Consider the following 18,126-nt stretch of genomic DNA (forward strand, 5'->3'; position numbering starts at 1 on the left):
TGCTGAATATACGTTCTTCTCCTCAGCACATGGAACATTCTCCAAAATAGACTATATGATAGGCCACTAAATGTGTCTCGGCCGGGTGTGGTGGCTCACACCTGTAATCCCAGCACTTTGGGAGGCCAAGGCAGACATATCACCTGAGGTCAAGAGTTTGAGACCAGCCTGGCCAACATGGCAAAACCCTGTCTCTACTAAAAATACAAAAACAATTAGCTGGGCATAGTGGCATGCACCTGTAGTCCCAGCTACTAGGGAAGGTGAGGCAGAAGAATCACTTGAACCTGGGAGGAGGAAGTTTCAGTGAGCTGAGATCATGCCACTGCACTCCAGCCTGGGCAACAAGAGTGAGACTCCATCTAAAAAAAAAAAAAAAAAAACCATGTCTCAATTAATTTAAGAAAATTGAAATTATGTAAAATACTCTCTCTCAGACCACAGTGGAATAAAATTACAAATTAACTGTCAAAGGAGCCATCAAAACTATACAAATACATGGAAACTAAATAATCTGTTCCAGAATGATCCTTGGGTTAAATAAAATAAAGATGGAAATTAAAAAATATATTTGAACTGAACAAAAATAGTGACACAGCCAATCAAAATCTCTGGGACACAGCAAAAGCGGTGCTAAGAGGAGAGTTCATAGCATTGAATGCCTACATCAAAGAGTCTGAAAGAGCACAAATAAACAACCCAAGGTCACACCTCAAGGAACTAGAGAAGCAAGAACAGACCAAACCCAAATCCAGCAGAAAAAAAGAAATAACCAGGATCACAGTAGAACTAAATAAAATTGAAACAAGCAAACAAAAACAATACAAAAGATAAATGAAGCAAAAAGCTGGTTCTTTTTGCATAAACAAAAGTGAGATACTATTAGCAAGATTAATCAAGAGAAAAAGAGAGGAGATCCAAGTAAACTCAATTAGAAATGAAATGGGAGATGTTAAACTAATACCACAGAAATACAAAAGATCATTCAAGGCTACTATGAACACCTTTATGTCCACAAACTAGAAAACCTAAAAGATTTGGATAAATTATTGGAAATATATAATCCTCCTAGATTAAACCAGAAAAAAATAGAAACTCTGAACAGACCAATAACAAGTAGCAAGATTAAAACAGCAATAAAAAAACTGCCAGCAACAACAAGTCCAGGAGCAGCTGGATTCTATCAGACATTCAAAGAAGAATTGGTACCAATCCTACTGAAACTATTCCAAAAGATAGAGAAAGAGGGAATCCTCCCTAAATCATTCTATGAAGCCAGAATTACCCTAATACCAAAACCAGGAAAAGATATAACAAAAAAAAGAAAACTACAAACCAATATCCCTGATGAACATAGATGTGAAAATCCTCCACAAAATACTATCTAACTCAATTCAACAGCATATCAAAAAGATAATCCACCATGATCAAGTGTGTTTGATAACAGGGATACAGGGATGGTTTAACATATGCAAGTCAATAAATGTGATACAGCACATAAACAGAAGTAAAATCAAAAGTCATATGATCACCTCAATAGATGCAGAAAAAGCATTTGATGAAATCCAGCATCCCTTTATGATTAAAACCCTCAGCAAAACAGCATAGAGGGACATACCTTAAGGTAATAAAAGCCATTTATGACAAATCCACAGCCAACATCATACTGAATGGGAAAAGCTCAAAGAATTTTCTCTAATCAGTGGAACAAAACAAGGATGCCCACTTTCACCACTTGTATTCAACATAGTACTGAAAGTCTTAGCCAGAGCAATTAGACAAGAGAGGTAAATAAAAGGCATCCAAATCAGTAATGAGAAAGTCAAACTGTTGCTAATGCCACTGACATGACGGTATACTTAGAAAACCCTAAAGACTCATCCCAAAAGCTCATAGATCTAATAAACGAATTCAGTAAAGTTTCAGGTACAAAATTAATGTACACAAATCAGTAGCACTGCTATACACCAACAATGACCAAGCTTAGAATCAAATAAAGAATTCAATGTCTTTTACAACAGCTACAAAGAAGTAAAATACTTAAGAATATACCCAACCAAAAATGTGAAAAATCTCTACAAGGAAAACTACAAAACACTGCTGAAAGAAATCACAGACAACACAAACAAATGGAAACACATCCTATGCTCATGGATGGGTAGAATCAATATTGTGAAAAGGATAATTCTGCTGAAAGCAATTTATAAATTCAATGCAATTCCCATCAAAATACCATCATCATTTTTCACAGAACTAGAAAAAACAATCCTAAAATTCATATGGAACCAAAAAAGAGCCCATATGGCCAAAGCAAGATTAAATAAGCAAAAAGAACGAATCTGGAGGCATCACATTCTCTCACTTCAAGCTATACTACAAGGCTATAGCTACCAAAACAGCATAGAACTGATGAAAAAATAAGCACATAGACCAATAAAACAGAATAGAGAACTCAGAAATAAAGCCAAATACTTATGATCAACTGATCTTCCACAAAGCAAACAAAACATAAAATGGAGAAAGGATCCCCTATTAACACATGCTGCTGGGATAATTGGCAAGCCACATGTACAGGAATGAAACTAAATCCTCATCTCTCACCTTATACAAAATCAACTCAAAATGGATCAAAGACTTAAATCTAAGACCTGAAACCATAAAAATTCTAGAAGATAACACTGGAAAAACTCTTCTAGACATTGGCCTAGGCAAAAAGTTAATGATCAAGAACTCAAAAGCAAATGCAATAAAAACAAAGATAAACCGATGAGACTTAATTAAAGTAAAAACATTCTGCAAATCAAAAGAAATAATCATCATAGTAAACAGTCAATGCACAGAGTGGGAGAAAAGATTCGCAAACTACAAACTATGTATCCAATAGAGGACTAATATTCATAATCTACAAGAAACTCAAACAAATCAACAAGATAAAAACAAACACATCAAAAAGTGAGCTAAGGCCATGAACAGACAATTCTCAAAAGAAGATATACTAATGGCCATCAAACATATAAAGAAATGCACAACATCACTAATTATCATGGAAATGCAAATCAAAACCACAATGCAATACCACCTTTCTCCTGCAAAAATGGCCATAATTTTAAAAATCAAAAAATTATAGACGTTGGTATGGATGTTGTGAAAAGGGAACACTTTTACACTGCTTGTAGAAACGTAAACTAGTATAACTACTATGAAAAACAGTATGGAAATTCCTTAAAGAACTAAAAGTAGAACTTCCGTTTGATCCAGCAATCCCACTTGTGAGTATCTACCCAGACGAAAAGAAGTCATTCTATGAAAAAGACACTTGCACACACATTTATAGCAGCACAGTTTAACAGTTGCAAAAATAAGGAACCAGCCCAAATGCCCATCAATCAATAGTGGATAAAGAAAATGTGGTGTATATATATACCATGGAATATTACTCAGCCATAAAAATGAATGAAATAATGGTATTTGCAGCAACCTTGATGGAGTTGGAGATCACTATTCTAACTGATGTAAATCAGGAATGGAAAACCAAACATCGTATGTTCTGACTTATAAGTGGAAGCTATGCTATGGGGACGCAAAGGCGTAAGAATGACATAATGGACTCTGGGACTTGAGGAGAAGTGGGTGATAAGGGACAAAAGGCTATACATTGGGTACAGTGTACACTGCTTGGGTGATGGGTGCACCAAAATCTCATAATCACCACTCAAGAACTTATCCATGTAACGAAACACCACCTGCTTTCTCAAAACTATTGAAATAATAATAATTAAAAAAAAAAACCTCTGTACCTTTCAAACAATAACTCTCCATTCTGCCTTCCCCCAGCCCCTGGCAACCATCATTCTGCTTTCTGTCCCCATGAATCTTACTAAGTATATTGTATGAGGGGAATCACAGAATATTTGTCATTTTGTGACTGACTTATTTCACTTAGCATAACATCTTCAAGGTTTATCCATGTTGTAGTATGTCTCAGAATTTCATTGCCTCTTAATGCTGATTAATATTTCATTGTATGTATGTAGCACATTTTGCTTATCTATTCTTCCACTGATGGATCTTTGGGTTGCTTCCACGTTTTAGCTGTTGCAAGTAATGCTGCTATGGACATGGGTATACACACATTTGTTTAGGTCCCTACTTTCAATTCTTTTGGATATATCCCCAGAAGTGAAAATGCTGAATGACAAGATATATCTATTTTCAATTTCTTGAAGAACCTCCAAACTGTTTTCCATTGCTACTGTACCATTTTACATTCCCACCAGCAGTGTCAAGGGTTCAAATATCTGTTTTTGTTTTTGTTTTCTAGTAGTAGCCAAACTAATGGCTAGAAAGTGGTACATTGTTGCAGTTTTGATATGCATCCCTATTAATTAGTGATATTGGGCACAGGCACATTTTTAAAAACATACAATCAATAAAATTGTTAGGTCATGGGGATTGAAAGTGGTCAGTTTTTCTGGGTAATATTTATTGCTCTTCAAAGTGATTTGCATTTACAAGAATTGTTAACACATAACAAGCATCCTAGATTTGTTTTAAGAAACAAGGGACTTTACAATTTTTCACTTTTAGTTAACTTTGAAATACTAAGATTTATAGAAAAGTTGTAAGGATAGTATAAAGTGTTCCAGGAAGCCTTCCACCCAGTCTCCCCTAATTGTAGCGTGTTATATAACCATGACACATTTATCAAAACTAAGAAATCAACATTGCTACACTATTGACTAAACTATGGACTTTATTTGTCTTTTTGCCAGTTTTTCCAATAATACCCTTTTCCTATTCAAGGATCCAATCCAGAATACCACGTTGCATTCATCTGTTATGTCTTCTTAGTCTCTGCCAATCCGTGACAGCGTCGCTGTCTTCCCTTGTTACTCATGAACTTGACACTTTTGAAGAGTATTAGTCAGGTATTTTGTAGAATGCTCCTCAGTTGCTGATGTTTTCTCATGATTGGACTGGCATTCTGGATTTGGGGGTAAGGTAACACAGTGGTGACGTCCTTCTCGTTGCATCATTTCCGGGGATGCTTGACATCAACACTACTTATCATTGGTGATGCTCACCTCCATCACTTGGATAAGGCCAAATCTTTCAGATTTTTTCGCTGTAGGGTCACTATTTTTACTTTTCCAAAACTCTATTTATTACAAGCAAGGCACTAAATCCAGCTTACTTTCATAAGGAGGGAAATTAAACTCCACCTGCTGGAGGAAAAAGTATGAAAGAATTTGTGGATATATGTTAAATTCAGTACAGTAATTAATAAATCTTTGGGCACAGATATTTGAGGTTATGCAAATATCCTGTTTCTTCCTTATGTTTCAGACACTAATTTCAGCAGTCTTCCATGAATCTTCCCTATGGCGACTATTACTGTGGTATTCTAGTGGTGTATTAGTCCATTCTTACACTGCTAATAAAGACATATGGGAGACTGGGTAATTTATAAAGAAAAAGATGTTTAATGGACTCACAGTTCCACAGGACTGGGGAGGCCTCACAATCATGGCGGAAGGCAAAGATAGAGCAAAGGCACATCTTGTATGGTGGTAAGCAAGAGAGCATGTGGAGGGGAACTGCCCTTTATAAACCATCAGATCTCATGAGATTTATTCACTATCACCAGAACAGCATGGGAAAAAATCAGAGCCATTATTCAATTACCTCCCACTGGGTACCTCCCAGGTCAGGTGGGGATTATGGGAGCTACAATTCAAGACAAGATTTGAGTGGGGACACAGCCAAACCACATCAAGTGGTGTCTTCCATTTCCCTCATTTCTTTTATGTTTACTATTTGGAAATCTTCCACAAGGAAGATTTTTTTCACTTCTCCTTCAATTATTTATGTATGTAACCATTTATTTTTATCAGTATAAACTCACTGATATTTACTTTTTTCTTTGGGTTATAACTCAGTAGTATTTTTATTAATTTTGTTGTTCAAAGTTTTCCAGCTTTGGCCACTGGGAGCTCTTTCAGGTTGGCTGCATGTTGCTTTGTCAGGCCTGTTCCCTGACCCCTTACTTTCTGGCAACACAAGGTCCTCCAGGTTCATCATGCATTTTCCCTTCCCTAGCCCTTGAGTCAGGCAGTTCTCCAGGGAGTCCTAGTTCAACAGGGACAACTTTTCAAATCAACTTCCATGTGTTGCTATGTATAATTTTCAGATTATTTCTTTTCTTTTTTTTTTTTTGAGATGGAGTCTCGCTCTTTCGCCCAGGCCAGAGTGCAGTGGCACGATCTCCGCTCACTGCAAGCTCTGCCTACTAGGTTCATGCCATTCTCCTGTCTCAGCCTCCTGAGTAGCTGGGACTACAGGCACCCGCCACCACGCCTGGCTAATTTTTTTTTTTTTTTTTTTTTGTATTTTTAGTAGAGACGGGGTTTCACTGTGTTAGCCAGGATGGTCTCCATCTCCTGACCTTGTGATCCGCCCGTCTTGGCCTCCCAAAGTGCTGGGATTACAGGCATGAGCCACCACGCCCGGCCAATTTTCAGATTATCTCTATGCTATAATTAATGCTATAATTAACTATAGATTTTCCATAATTAAGTCATATGTATTACAGCACTCAGACTAACAGGCTGCAGTAAGAAGGAACATGAACCTATCACCAATGCTTTACCCTTCTTTCTCTAGCACTCACCTGGTAATCTCTGTGGGCCCAACTGGCTCTAAGATTCTATGATTCTATAATGAAAAGACAAAAGGCAAAAGATGTTCCCATAAGGGACATTTCTTTGAATCAGAAAATTGTTTCATTTTGCCAAAAATAAATTTAAGCCCTAGTTGACCTCCATTTTGCCTTTTCTATCCTTCCTGTAGTTTAATCCTATTCCTTCCATTTTATTATCAATTTTGAAATGAAAATTTAAATTTGTTTTGCTTGATCAAATTATGATATAAATAAAGTAATAAAAATACAAAACAATAAATTATACTTACTTATAAAGTCTACAGCTTCTTGAAATTAACATATTATAATCTACTGCTGCTGAAATCTTTAGTCATCAAACAGTTTAAACACTAGAGTAGTGGTTCTTGACAGAGGGGACTTTGCCCCGATATGGATTGGCTGTGCCCCCATGCAAATCTTATCTTGAATTGTAGCTTCCACAATTCCCACATGTTGTGGGAGGGATCAAGTAGGAGGTAATTGAATCACGGGGAAAGGCTTTTCCCATGCTCTTCTCATGATAACTAATAAGTCTCATGAGACATAATGGTTTTGTAAGGGAGAACCCTTTTCACTTAGTTCCCATTCTCTCTTGCTGCTGCCATGTAAGAAGTACTTTTCGCCTTCCACCATGATTGTGAGGCCTCCCTAGCCACATGGAACTGTGAGTTTATTAAACCTATTTTCTCTCCAGTCTCAGGTATGTCTTTATCAGCAGTGTGAAAATGAACTAATACAGTAAATTGGTACCAGTGGACTGGGGCATTGCTGAAAAGATACCCAAAAATGTGAAAGCAACTTTGGAACTGGCTAACAGGCATAGGTTGAAACTGTTTGGAGGGCTCAGAAGAAGACAGAAAATATAGGAATATTTGGAACTCCCTAGTAAAGACTTTTAAATGGCTTTGAGCAAAATGCTGATAATGATATGGGCAATGAAATCCGGGCTGAGGTGGTCTCAGATGGAGAGGAGGAATTTGTTGGGAACTGGAGCAAAGGTGACTCTTGCTATATTTTAGCAAAGATACTGGCAGCATTTTGCCCCTGACCTAGAGATTTGTGGAACTTTGAACTTGAGAGAGATGATTTAGGGTATTTGGCAGAAGAAATTTCTAAACAGCAAAGCATTCAAGGTGTGACTTGGGTGCTGTTAAAAGTGTTCAGTTTTAAAAGGGAAACAGAGCATAAAAGTTTGACAAATTTGCAGCCTGACAATGTGATAGAAATTAAAATCCCATTTTCTAAGGAGAAATTCAAGTTGGCTGCATAAATTTTCATAATTAATGAGGAGCTGAATGTTAATCACCAAGACAATGGGGGAAATGTCTCCAGGGCATGTCAGAGACCTTTGTGGTAGCTCCTCCCACCACAGGCCCAGAGGCCTAGGAGGAAAAAATGGTTTCATTGGCCGGGACCAGAGTCTCTCTGCTGTGTGCAGTCTAAGGACTGTGTTCCAGTTGCTCCATCCATGACTAAAAGGAGTCAAGGTACAGCTTGGGCCATGGCTTCAGAAAGTGCAAGTTCCAAGCCTTGGCAGCTTCCATGTGGTGTTGAGCCTGCAGGTGCAAAGGAGTCAAGAATTGAGGTTTGGGAACCTCTGCCTAGTTTTCAGAAGATATTATGGAAACATCTGGATGTCCAGGCAGAAGTTTGTTGCAGCAGTGGGGCCCTCATGGAGAACCTCTGCCAGGGCAGTGAAGAAGAGAAATGTAGGGTGGGGACCCCCACAGACTCCCCACTAGTGTGCTGCCTAGTGAAGCTGTAAGAAGAGAGCCACCATCCTCCAGACCCCAGAATGGTAGATCCACTGACAGCTTGCACAATGCACCTGGAAAAGCCACAGACACTCAATACCAGCCCATGAAAGCAGCTGGGAGGGAGGCAGTATCCTCCAAAGCCACAGGGGCAGAGCTGCCTGAGATCACGGGAACCCATCTCTTGCATCAGCATGACCCAGATGTGAGACATGGAATCAAAAGACATCATTTCGGAGCTTTAAAATTTGACTGCCCTGCTGCATTTTGGACTTGCATGGGGCCTGTAGCCCCTTGGTTTTGGCCAATTTCTCCCATTTGTAACAGCTGTATTTACCCAATACATGTACCTACATTGTATCTAGAAAGTAATTAACTTGCTTTTGATTTTATGGGCTCATAGGCAGAGGGGACTTGCCTTGTCTCAGATGAGACATTGGACTGTAAGCTTTTGAATTAATGCTGAAATGGGTTAACAATTTGGGGTTCTACTGGGAAGGCATGATTGGTTTTGAAATGTGAGGACATGAGATTTGCGAGGGGCCAGGGATAGAATGATATGGTTTGGCTGTGTTCCCACACAAATCTCATCTTGAATTGTAGCTCCCACAATTCCAACATGTTGTGGGAGGGACCCAGTGGGGGGTAACTGAATCATGGGGGCACGTATTTCCTGTGCTGCTCTTGTGACAGTAAGTCTTACAAGATATGATGGTTTTATAAGGGGAAACCCCTTTCAGTCAGTTCTCATTCTCTCTTGCTGCTGCCATGTAAGAAGTGCCTGTTTCCTTCTGCCATGATTGTGAGGCCTCCCAAGCCACGTGGAATTGGGAGTCCATTAAACCTATTTTTCTTCCCAATCTCAGGTATATCTTTATCAGCAGTGTGAAAATGGACCAATAGAGCCCCCAAGGGACACTTGTCAATCTCTAGAGACATTTATGGTTGTGGCATCCTGGAGGGATACTACTGGCATCTAGCAGGGACAGTCCTGAAATGCTGCTAAGCGTCTTATAATATATCAGAGCCCACCACACCAAAGAATTATCCAGCCCAAAAGCCAGTAGTCTCAAGACTGGTAAATTATGGTCTAAAGGGACTTTTAATTTTCTAATTGGCTAGCTGGCTAAGTAACAGATATTTTCCTCCAAAACGCTTAAGGAAAATGATTAGCAAATTCCAAGGACTACTGCCACTAAAATGTTGAGTACAATAAAGAATTGCCTGGAAGAATCAGATGATAGAATACTTAGGATCCACTGTAGCTATACAGTGCCAAGAAAGCAAAGACGCAGTTAGACTCATGTTACATCTTAACTTATTCCATTTTGAATAAGTGACTTATCTGACACAGCAAGGGTCAAATGCATCTGAAAAATACACTGTTAAATGCATGAATTATCAGTAAGTTAGCACTTTAAACAAACACACTGATGGTCTGTTGGCTAACATGATATGGTTCTAGTGTGATGTAGGTAAGTGAATTTGGGGCCAGGAGATAGAATCTAGGAGTGTAGTCATGGCTCCATCTCTTGCTGACTGAGTGACTCTAGCTAGGTCATATGGCTTACCTGGGCTTCAGTTTCTGCATCTGATAAACGTGAACGCTTATATATGTCTGTTTTATCTACCTCACTGGTCATTGTGAGAATTCTTTTTTTAAGTACACTTTCTCTTTATTTGAGTATTGATATATTCTCATATTTTTTTATACTCCTCATATATGGTTTTGGAAATAACAATGTATTTGGAAGACCAAGGAAAAGTAGATTCCTCCAGGGAGGAGGCTTCACACCCCCATGTAGAGACATGATTGGGCTCCTATAATTAACTAACTTCTCTCCTCTCATATGTCTCATTAGAGTGTAAAAATAGATTTTTAAAAGTATCATAGACAAGCCACAGACTTGTAGAAAATATTTTCAAAATGCATATCTGATAAAAAATGTGTATCTAAAATGTACAAAGAACTCTTAAAATTCAACAATAAGAAAACAAGCAACCCAGTTAAATAATGTAAAAAAACCTGAACAGACCCCTCACCAAAGAAGGTAAACAGATGCCAAATAAGGATATGAAAAAATGCTCAATATTGTTTGTCAACAGAGAATTGCAACTTAAAATGACAACAAAGTACCACTACATAACTATTGTAATTTTTGAACTGGAACAATTTGAGCAATAAAATAAATAGAATAATATATAATTTTAACTCAAAGTACCAAATAAATATCCATGAGTCCATACTGTTACTAATAGATAATTGAATAAATATTTAAATGGGGGATATGAGACAAATTATGCATAAGAATTCTAAATAATTTGTCTGGATACTCCACCCTCAGGAGGTGGAGCAAAACTTCTCACTCATTAAGTGTGGGCTGCACAAAGTGGCCTCCTTCTAAAGAGTGCACTATGGAAAGAGAAAACCTAACAAACACCACCTTGGCCAAGGTGAACAAGGTCACCATAAATAGTGATTAGTCATGTTGACAGTATGTACCCTTCAGACGATGTGATGATGATGGCACCTTACCTCTGTGGTTCTCCTCCCCAAAAGCCATGACCCCAGTCTAATCATGAGAATAACAACATAAAGATTTCAGTACGGGGCATCCTACTGTACCCCTGATCAGTGCTCTTCCAAACCTGCAAGGTCATACAAAGCAGAAAATGTCCCAGCAACTGCCTCAGCCAGAGGAACCTCAGGAGACTTGACAGCTAAATGTTTCTTGGGATCTTGAATGAGATCCCAGAACAGAAAAGGACACTCAGTGAAAACCACATAAATGTAAGTAAAATATAGGCTTTAAGTAATAAAAATATATCAATATTGGTACATGAATAATAATAAATGCACTAATATAATATATATAATATTGTAAGACGTTAATGATAAACACAGCCGAGGGTGGACGTGAACTCTGTGTACTCTAAGTTCACAATATTTCTGTAGATATGCAAATCTCCTAAAACAAAGTTTATTTTAAAAACAATATTATTATAATGATTGATGAAAAACATTGTGAGAGAGCAGTCGTGGTTTAAACTGTTATTGCACTTTGTGAGCATTTGGTTTTTCTAACAGAAGATGGAACTAGAAGACACACCTTTAGATTTGCTCAGTAGTTTACCCTGGGGCAGCTGGTACCACCCCTCTGTCATTAGCCATTTAGGAAAGCTAGGAGAAAAGTGTCATTGTTTAATTACATGTCAGAGGACAATGAGCGTCACAGAGTGCATGTGGAGTATGTTGGAAAATGTTTCCTTCCACACAGTGAGCCTGATATATCTCTCTAATAAAGGGCAAATGGAGAAGGACTTCCATCCCTGTCACTGAGTATGTACCACCAGGGCTGTCAGCTGTGGACCATCCCCATCACTGAGTATAGGCCACTAGTGTTGTCAGCTGTGGACCATCCCTGTCACTGAGTATGGGCCACCAGGTTTTGTCAGCTGTGGACCATCCCTGTCACTGAGTATGGGCCACCAGGTTTGTCAGCTGTGGACCATTCCTGTCACTGAGTATGGGCCACCAGGGTTGTCATCTGTGAATGGAAACCATTCATCTCTCCAGGACGCTGGAGCCCTAGTGAAGTGAATGTGCTCATATGAAGACTCACACAAGTATAAAATGTTTAGGCTTCTTGGGGATGAGGCTGGCTATGGCCACTGGCTGGAAAACAGGGTGTGTTTTCCTACCATCCTTCCCTCTTTCTCTATTCCATTCATATCAGCCTCAGACTTTCTGAAAAAAAAAAAAAAAAAAAAAAAACCCACAATAAAATTAGTTCTTCATGTAGAGCCCAGAGCAGTTTGGTTTTGTATCCAGGATTCCTGTAAAGATAATATATTTCTCCCCTAAGTTTCACCTTAGAATGTCTCTTCTCGAACCATAGCAATTTCCCTCTCAGCTAAACAGAAGATTTTCCCAACTAGGAAATCACCAGACATGCTGTTTCCAGGATGACTTACTTTGAATGCTCAGTGCATTTGAAACTGAACTCCCATGGATAGGAAAGGGGTATGGAGCCGTCATTACATAGCAAATCTTGAAAACGTCAAGATCATTGAACTAAAAAACTTCAAGGCTGGGTGCAGTGGCTCATGCCTGTAATCCTAGTACTCGGCCAATGCGGGTGGATCCCTTAAGCTCAGGAGTTCGAGATCGGCCTATGCAACATAGTGAGAACCCATCTCTATAAAAGATACAAAAATTAGCTTGGTGTGGTGGCGTGCACCTGTAGTCCCAGCTGCACAAGAAGCTGAGGTGGGAAGATGGCTTGAGCCTAGGAGGTGGAAGTTGCAGTGAGCCGAGATCGCACCACTGCACTCCAGCCTGGGCAACAGAGCCAGGCCTGTCTCAAAATCATTAATAAATAAATACATAAATAAATAAATGAATGAATAACTAATTCTATTCTTTCTTTTCCCCATCCCCACAGATAGCTACATTAATACAAATGACAGATTATAACCATATATAAATATCCCAATTAAAACAAACAAATGACTAAAACAGGTGGCAGTGTTAATTGCCGATCTCTCTGTGGTCCACATTCTGTTTCATTCCTTTAGAACGTCACTACCTACCCCTCGATCTGCAATGCTAGTAAAAGGACTTTCATGTCTGTGCACTTTAAGCGTTTTGGGGATGGCATCACAGGAGCAGAAGAGGCCATGGGAAAAGAAACTTTGAATGCAGGGAGCATACTGAGGTAGTCAGTGTGTTCTGCTGCTTGATCCTGACATCGGGCTATTGAAATTGAAGATGGAAAACCCGTATTGAGTCATTTGGCTCTTTCCCTTGAGGGCAGTAGATTATGCTGGACAGTATTTTATTTAGCACCCTGTCCATTTCTATTTTAACTTGCTCTTCCTTGGAGGCCTATTAACTCAAACCCAGCAAGGATTTTATTACAAATGGAAGGCATTCTACTAGTTGGTCATTTCTTCCACAAAACACACATTCTCCTGCTGAGATATTAAAAAACAAAATTTACCAAACAACATGAAAACAGTGCTGGATTGTAGAAGGAGCAATAAGCGGATTGTCGCAAAGTGGCTCCAGACGCTCACTCTGACTTGCCTGAAACACATGCTCACTGAGAATCCTCAACACTGGGTCCCTGGAAATAGGGACCATGTGACACTAAGCGACCTGTAGCACTGATATCCTCATAGCCCCTTTTCCCCACAGGTCCCACGATACCCAGGTTCTGGGCAGTTAGTGTTCCCAGGCAATTCTCATAAACAGCTACACCACATGCAGACTGCTTGGTACTGAGGAAATCTCATTCAACATCGACAAGTTTGCTTTCAGGCTTGCCCTTTGTAAAAGTCAGAGTGGCCCCAGTGGAATGCAAGTCCATGCTACTGGTCAGAAAAATATCTTGGTCCTCGTGTTTTCTCTATGGCAAAGATGAGAGGATGAGGGACACTGGGCTTTTCTCCTCCCGGGTTCTGTAAGCTTCTGCCTTCCTAAAAAGGCTGATTCCCTAACTCATGCCATTCTCCAACCTGGTGCATGAAAGACAGTGTCCCAGATGGCATCTTCCTTGAACAACGAAGAACGAGGACTTCTGGAGCCAAAAGCTGGGTTAAATATGTGCTCTGATGTTCATTCGCTACAGGAGCCTCGGGTTCCGCATCTGTCAACTAGAAATAACACCCTTGCCTTAGGCAGGGGCTGTGGTAACGTGCTGTGGGTACATAGTGACGGTCAGAACAGTAAAGAAATGCAATCAGTGGTAGCTACTACTGTTGGCATAATTACGAACAGCAGGAGGATGAACAGACACCCCCTGAAAACTTAGGAACATTATTTTTAAATCACATGTAGTGTGAAAAGTACACAGTTTGGTTTGTTATACAGAAACAAGAGGTTTAAATCCATGGAGTAGAAGATAACGATAATGCACTGATTGCTGGTTATGAAAGTCAGGAAGAAAATAACCAAGTTCAGTGCTCATCTTGATCTAAGACCATTCATGGCCTGACCTCTCTAATGCGCAGAGGATAAAACACGGGAGTGCATGATGCTCACCAAGGATCAGTCAGAATTTCTCCAAGGATCAGCTCCCAAATCAACCAAAACTTCTCCAAGGTTCAGCTCCCAAATCAACCAGAACTTCTCTAAGGATCAGCTCCCAAATCAACCAGAACTTCTCCAAGGTTCAGCTCCCAAATCAACCAGAACTTCTCCAGGGATCAGCTCCCAAATCAACCAGAAATTTTCCAAGGATCAGCTCCCAAATTAGCCAGAACTTCTCCAGGGATCAGCCCCCAAATCAACCAAAACTTCTCCAAGGATCAGCCCCAAATCAACCAAAATTTCTCCAAGGATCAGCTCCCGAATCAACCAAAACTTCTCCAAGGATCAGCCACCAAATCAACCAGAACTTCTCCAAGGTTCAGCTCCCAAATCAACCAGAACTTCTCCAAGGATCAGCCCCCAAATCAGCCAGAACTTCTCCAGGGATCAGCCCCCAAATCAGTCAGAACTTCTCCAAGGATCAGCTTCCAAATCAACCAGAACTTCTCCAAGGATCAGCTCCCAAATCAACCAGAACTTCTCCAAGGTTCAGCTTCCAAATCAACCAGAACTTCTCCAAGGATCAGCCCCCAAATCAGCCAGAACTTCTCCAGGGATCAGCCCCCAAATCACCCAGAACTTCTCCAAGGATCAGCTCCCAAATTAGTCAGAACTTCTCCAAGGATCAGCTTCCAAATCAACCACAACTTCTTCAGGGATCAGCCCCCAAATCAGCCAGAACTTCTCCAAGGATCAGCTACCAAATCAGTCAGAACTTCTCCAGGGATCAGCTCCCAAATCAGCCAGAACTTCTCCAAGGATCAGCTCCCAAATCAACCAGAACTTCTCCAAGGATCAGCTCCCAAATCAACCAGAACTTCTCCATGCATCGGCTCCCAAATTAATCAGAACTTCTCCAAGGATCAGCCCCCAAATCAACCAGAACTTCTCCAGGGATCAGCCCCCAAATCAGCCAGCACTTCTCCAGGGATCAGCTCCCAAATCAACCAGAACTTCTCCAAGGATTAGCTCCCAAATCAACCAGAACTTCTCCAAGATTCAGCTCCCAAATCAGTCAGAACTTCTCCGAGAATCAGCTCCCAAATCAACCAGAACTTCTCCAAGATTCAGCTCCCAAATCAGTCAGAACTTCTCCAAGGATCAGCTCCCAAATCAGTCAGAACTTCTCCAAGGATGAGCCCCCAAATCAACCAGAACTTCTCCAAGGTTCAGCTCCCACATCAGTCAGAACTTCTCCAAGGTTCAGCCCCCAAGTCACCCGGAACTTCTCCAAGTTTCAGCTCCCAAATCAGTCAGAACTTCTCCAAGGATCAGCCCCCAAATCAACCAGAACTTCTCCAAGTTTCAGCTCCCAAATCAGTCAGAACTTCTCCAAGGATCAGCCCCCAAATCAACCAGAACTTCTCCAAGGATCAGCTCCCAAATCAACCAGAACTTCTCCAAGTTTCAGCTCCCAAATCAGTCAGAACTTCTCCAAGGATCAGCCCCCAAATCACCTGGAACTTCTCCAAGGATCAGCCCCCAAATCAACCAGAACTTCTCCAAGGTTCAGCTCCCAAATCAGCCAGAACTTCCCCAAGGTTCAGCCCCCAATTCACCCAGAACTTCTCCAATGATCAGCCCCCAAATCAACCAGAACTTCTCCAAGGTTCAGCTCCCAAATCAACCAGAACTTCTCCAAGGTTCAGCTCCCACATCAGTCAGAACTTCTCCAAGGTTCAGCCCCCAAGTCACCCGGAACTTCTCCAAGGATCAGCCCCCAAATCAACCAGAACTTCTCCAAGTTTCAGCTCCCAAATCAGTCAGAACTTCTCCAAGGATCAGCCCCCAAATCACCCGGAACTTCTCCAAGGATCAGCCCCCAAGTCAACCAGAACTTCTCCAAGGTTCAGCTCCCAAATCAGCCAGAACTTCCCCAAGGTTCAGCCCCCAAATCACCCAGAACTTCTCCAATGATCAGCCCCCAAATCAACCAGAACTTCTCCAAGTTTCAGCTCCCAAATCAACCAGAACTTCTCCAAGGATCAGCTCCCAAATCAACCAGAACTTCTCCAAGGATCAGCTCGCAAATCAGCCAGAACTTCTCCAAGGATCAGCTCCCAAGTCAGCCAGAACTTCTCCAAGGATCAGCCCCCAAATCAGCCAGAACTTCTCCAAGGTTCAGCTCCCAAATCATTCAGAACTTCTCCAAGGATCAGCTCCCAAATCAACCAGACCTTCTCCAGGGATCAGTTCCCAAATCAGCCAGAAATTCTCCAGGGATCAGCTCCCAAATCAGCCAGAACTTCTCCCAGGGTGGGAGATCTTTTGATCTCATGCAGTCCCTTCATAGTGCTCAGCATTTTACCCAGAAAAGCATCAGTCACCCGTAAAGGCTAAGTTTTAAACACTGTAAAACCAGAAAATGTTATATACACGACTGTGTGAGGCGTGAACGTGGGGAAGTGAGTGTGAAAGTGCATGAATGTGAGCATTCAAGAAGGCATGAGTGTGCGAGGGAACCCCACCAACAAAGCAAGCAAGAGGACCTGGCCTCTTTCTATTTGCGACAACCCTTAATGGGGCTCAGAGATTTCCCACTGCGTTCCTTACCCTCTTAGTGCTGCACACCGGCCTCTACAAAGCCATAAGCAAGGAAAAGAAATAGAGGATCGTGAGTTTAAACAGTTCAGAATAAATTGGTATTGGGTGTTAAGGGCTTAAATTCCACTATCTATGTTTACCGTATCTTAAGTTGAATCAAAACAAAATCCAACAACACAATGTTACAAGATGTTGCTGCCTAGAAACAACCGAAAGCTGGATTAGAGGGTCATAAATTAAGGATTGGGTACATTGTAACTAATTAAATACATACAAAAGAAAAGCAGATTTGGTAATATCATTTCAGGCTATGTAGTATTTAAAGTCTCTTATTGAGTTAAAAGAGCATCGTATTATTTTAAATTGGTAAGCTAATAATAAAGATATGACATGAATAAACTTTAATATACCAAATAAAAAAGCCCAAAAGTATATATATATAAAACAAAAAACAGACAGACGTATGGCTGCAGCTGATAAATTTTTAACTCACCATTATCAACATACAGCAGATACCATATTCAAAAATGAAACAAAATAAGAACTGAAAAAAATAAGTAATAAAATTAATGTGGTGGAACTAATAGAATATGCCAAACTTTTTATCTGAAAGTTAGAAATCTCATCCTCTTTCATACCTTCTGTCCATATACAATCACCAACTGTGAAAACAAAATTATCATCCTATTTCCAGAAATTATTAAGACAAAAAGCTGATAAAAATATTTAGCCAAACGAAGCATTAGAATACCAAATTATAGGGATGTGCGTGATGACTTAACTGTTTCTTGCACGTTTTGCTGGGCGCTGTAATTCAGATAGTTTGTGTTTTAACTTTTACAATCTTCTAGTCTGCAATAATAATTTTATAGTTTGCTGTGGAACTGCACCAAATCCATAAAATCTGCAAAAGTCCTCAAAATTCCACATATGTGGGTTGTCATTGGCCCTAATAATTGTGCTCCAAGTTTTGCACTAAATTCTTCCACAAATTAGAAATGAAAACACCATGTGTTTCAGAGGAATGAATGAAA

Source organism: Homo sapiens, chromosome 4 (assembly GCF_000001405.40).
Source record: "Homo sapiens chromosome 4, GRCh38.p14 Primary Assembly".
Lineage (NCBI taxonomy): Eukaryota > Metazoa > Chordata > Mammalia > Primates > Hominidae > Homo > Homo sapiens.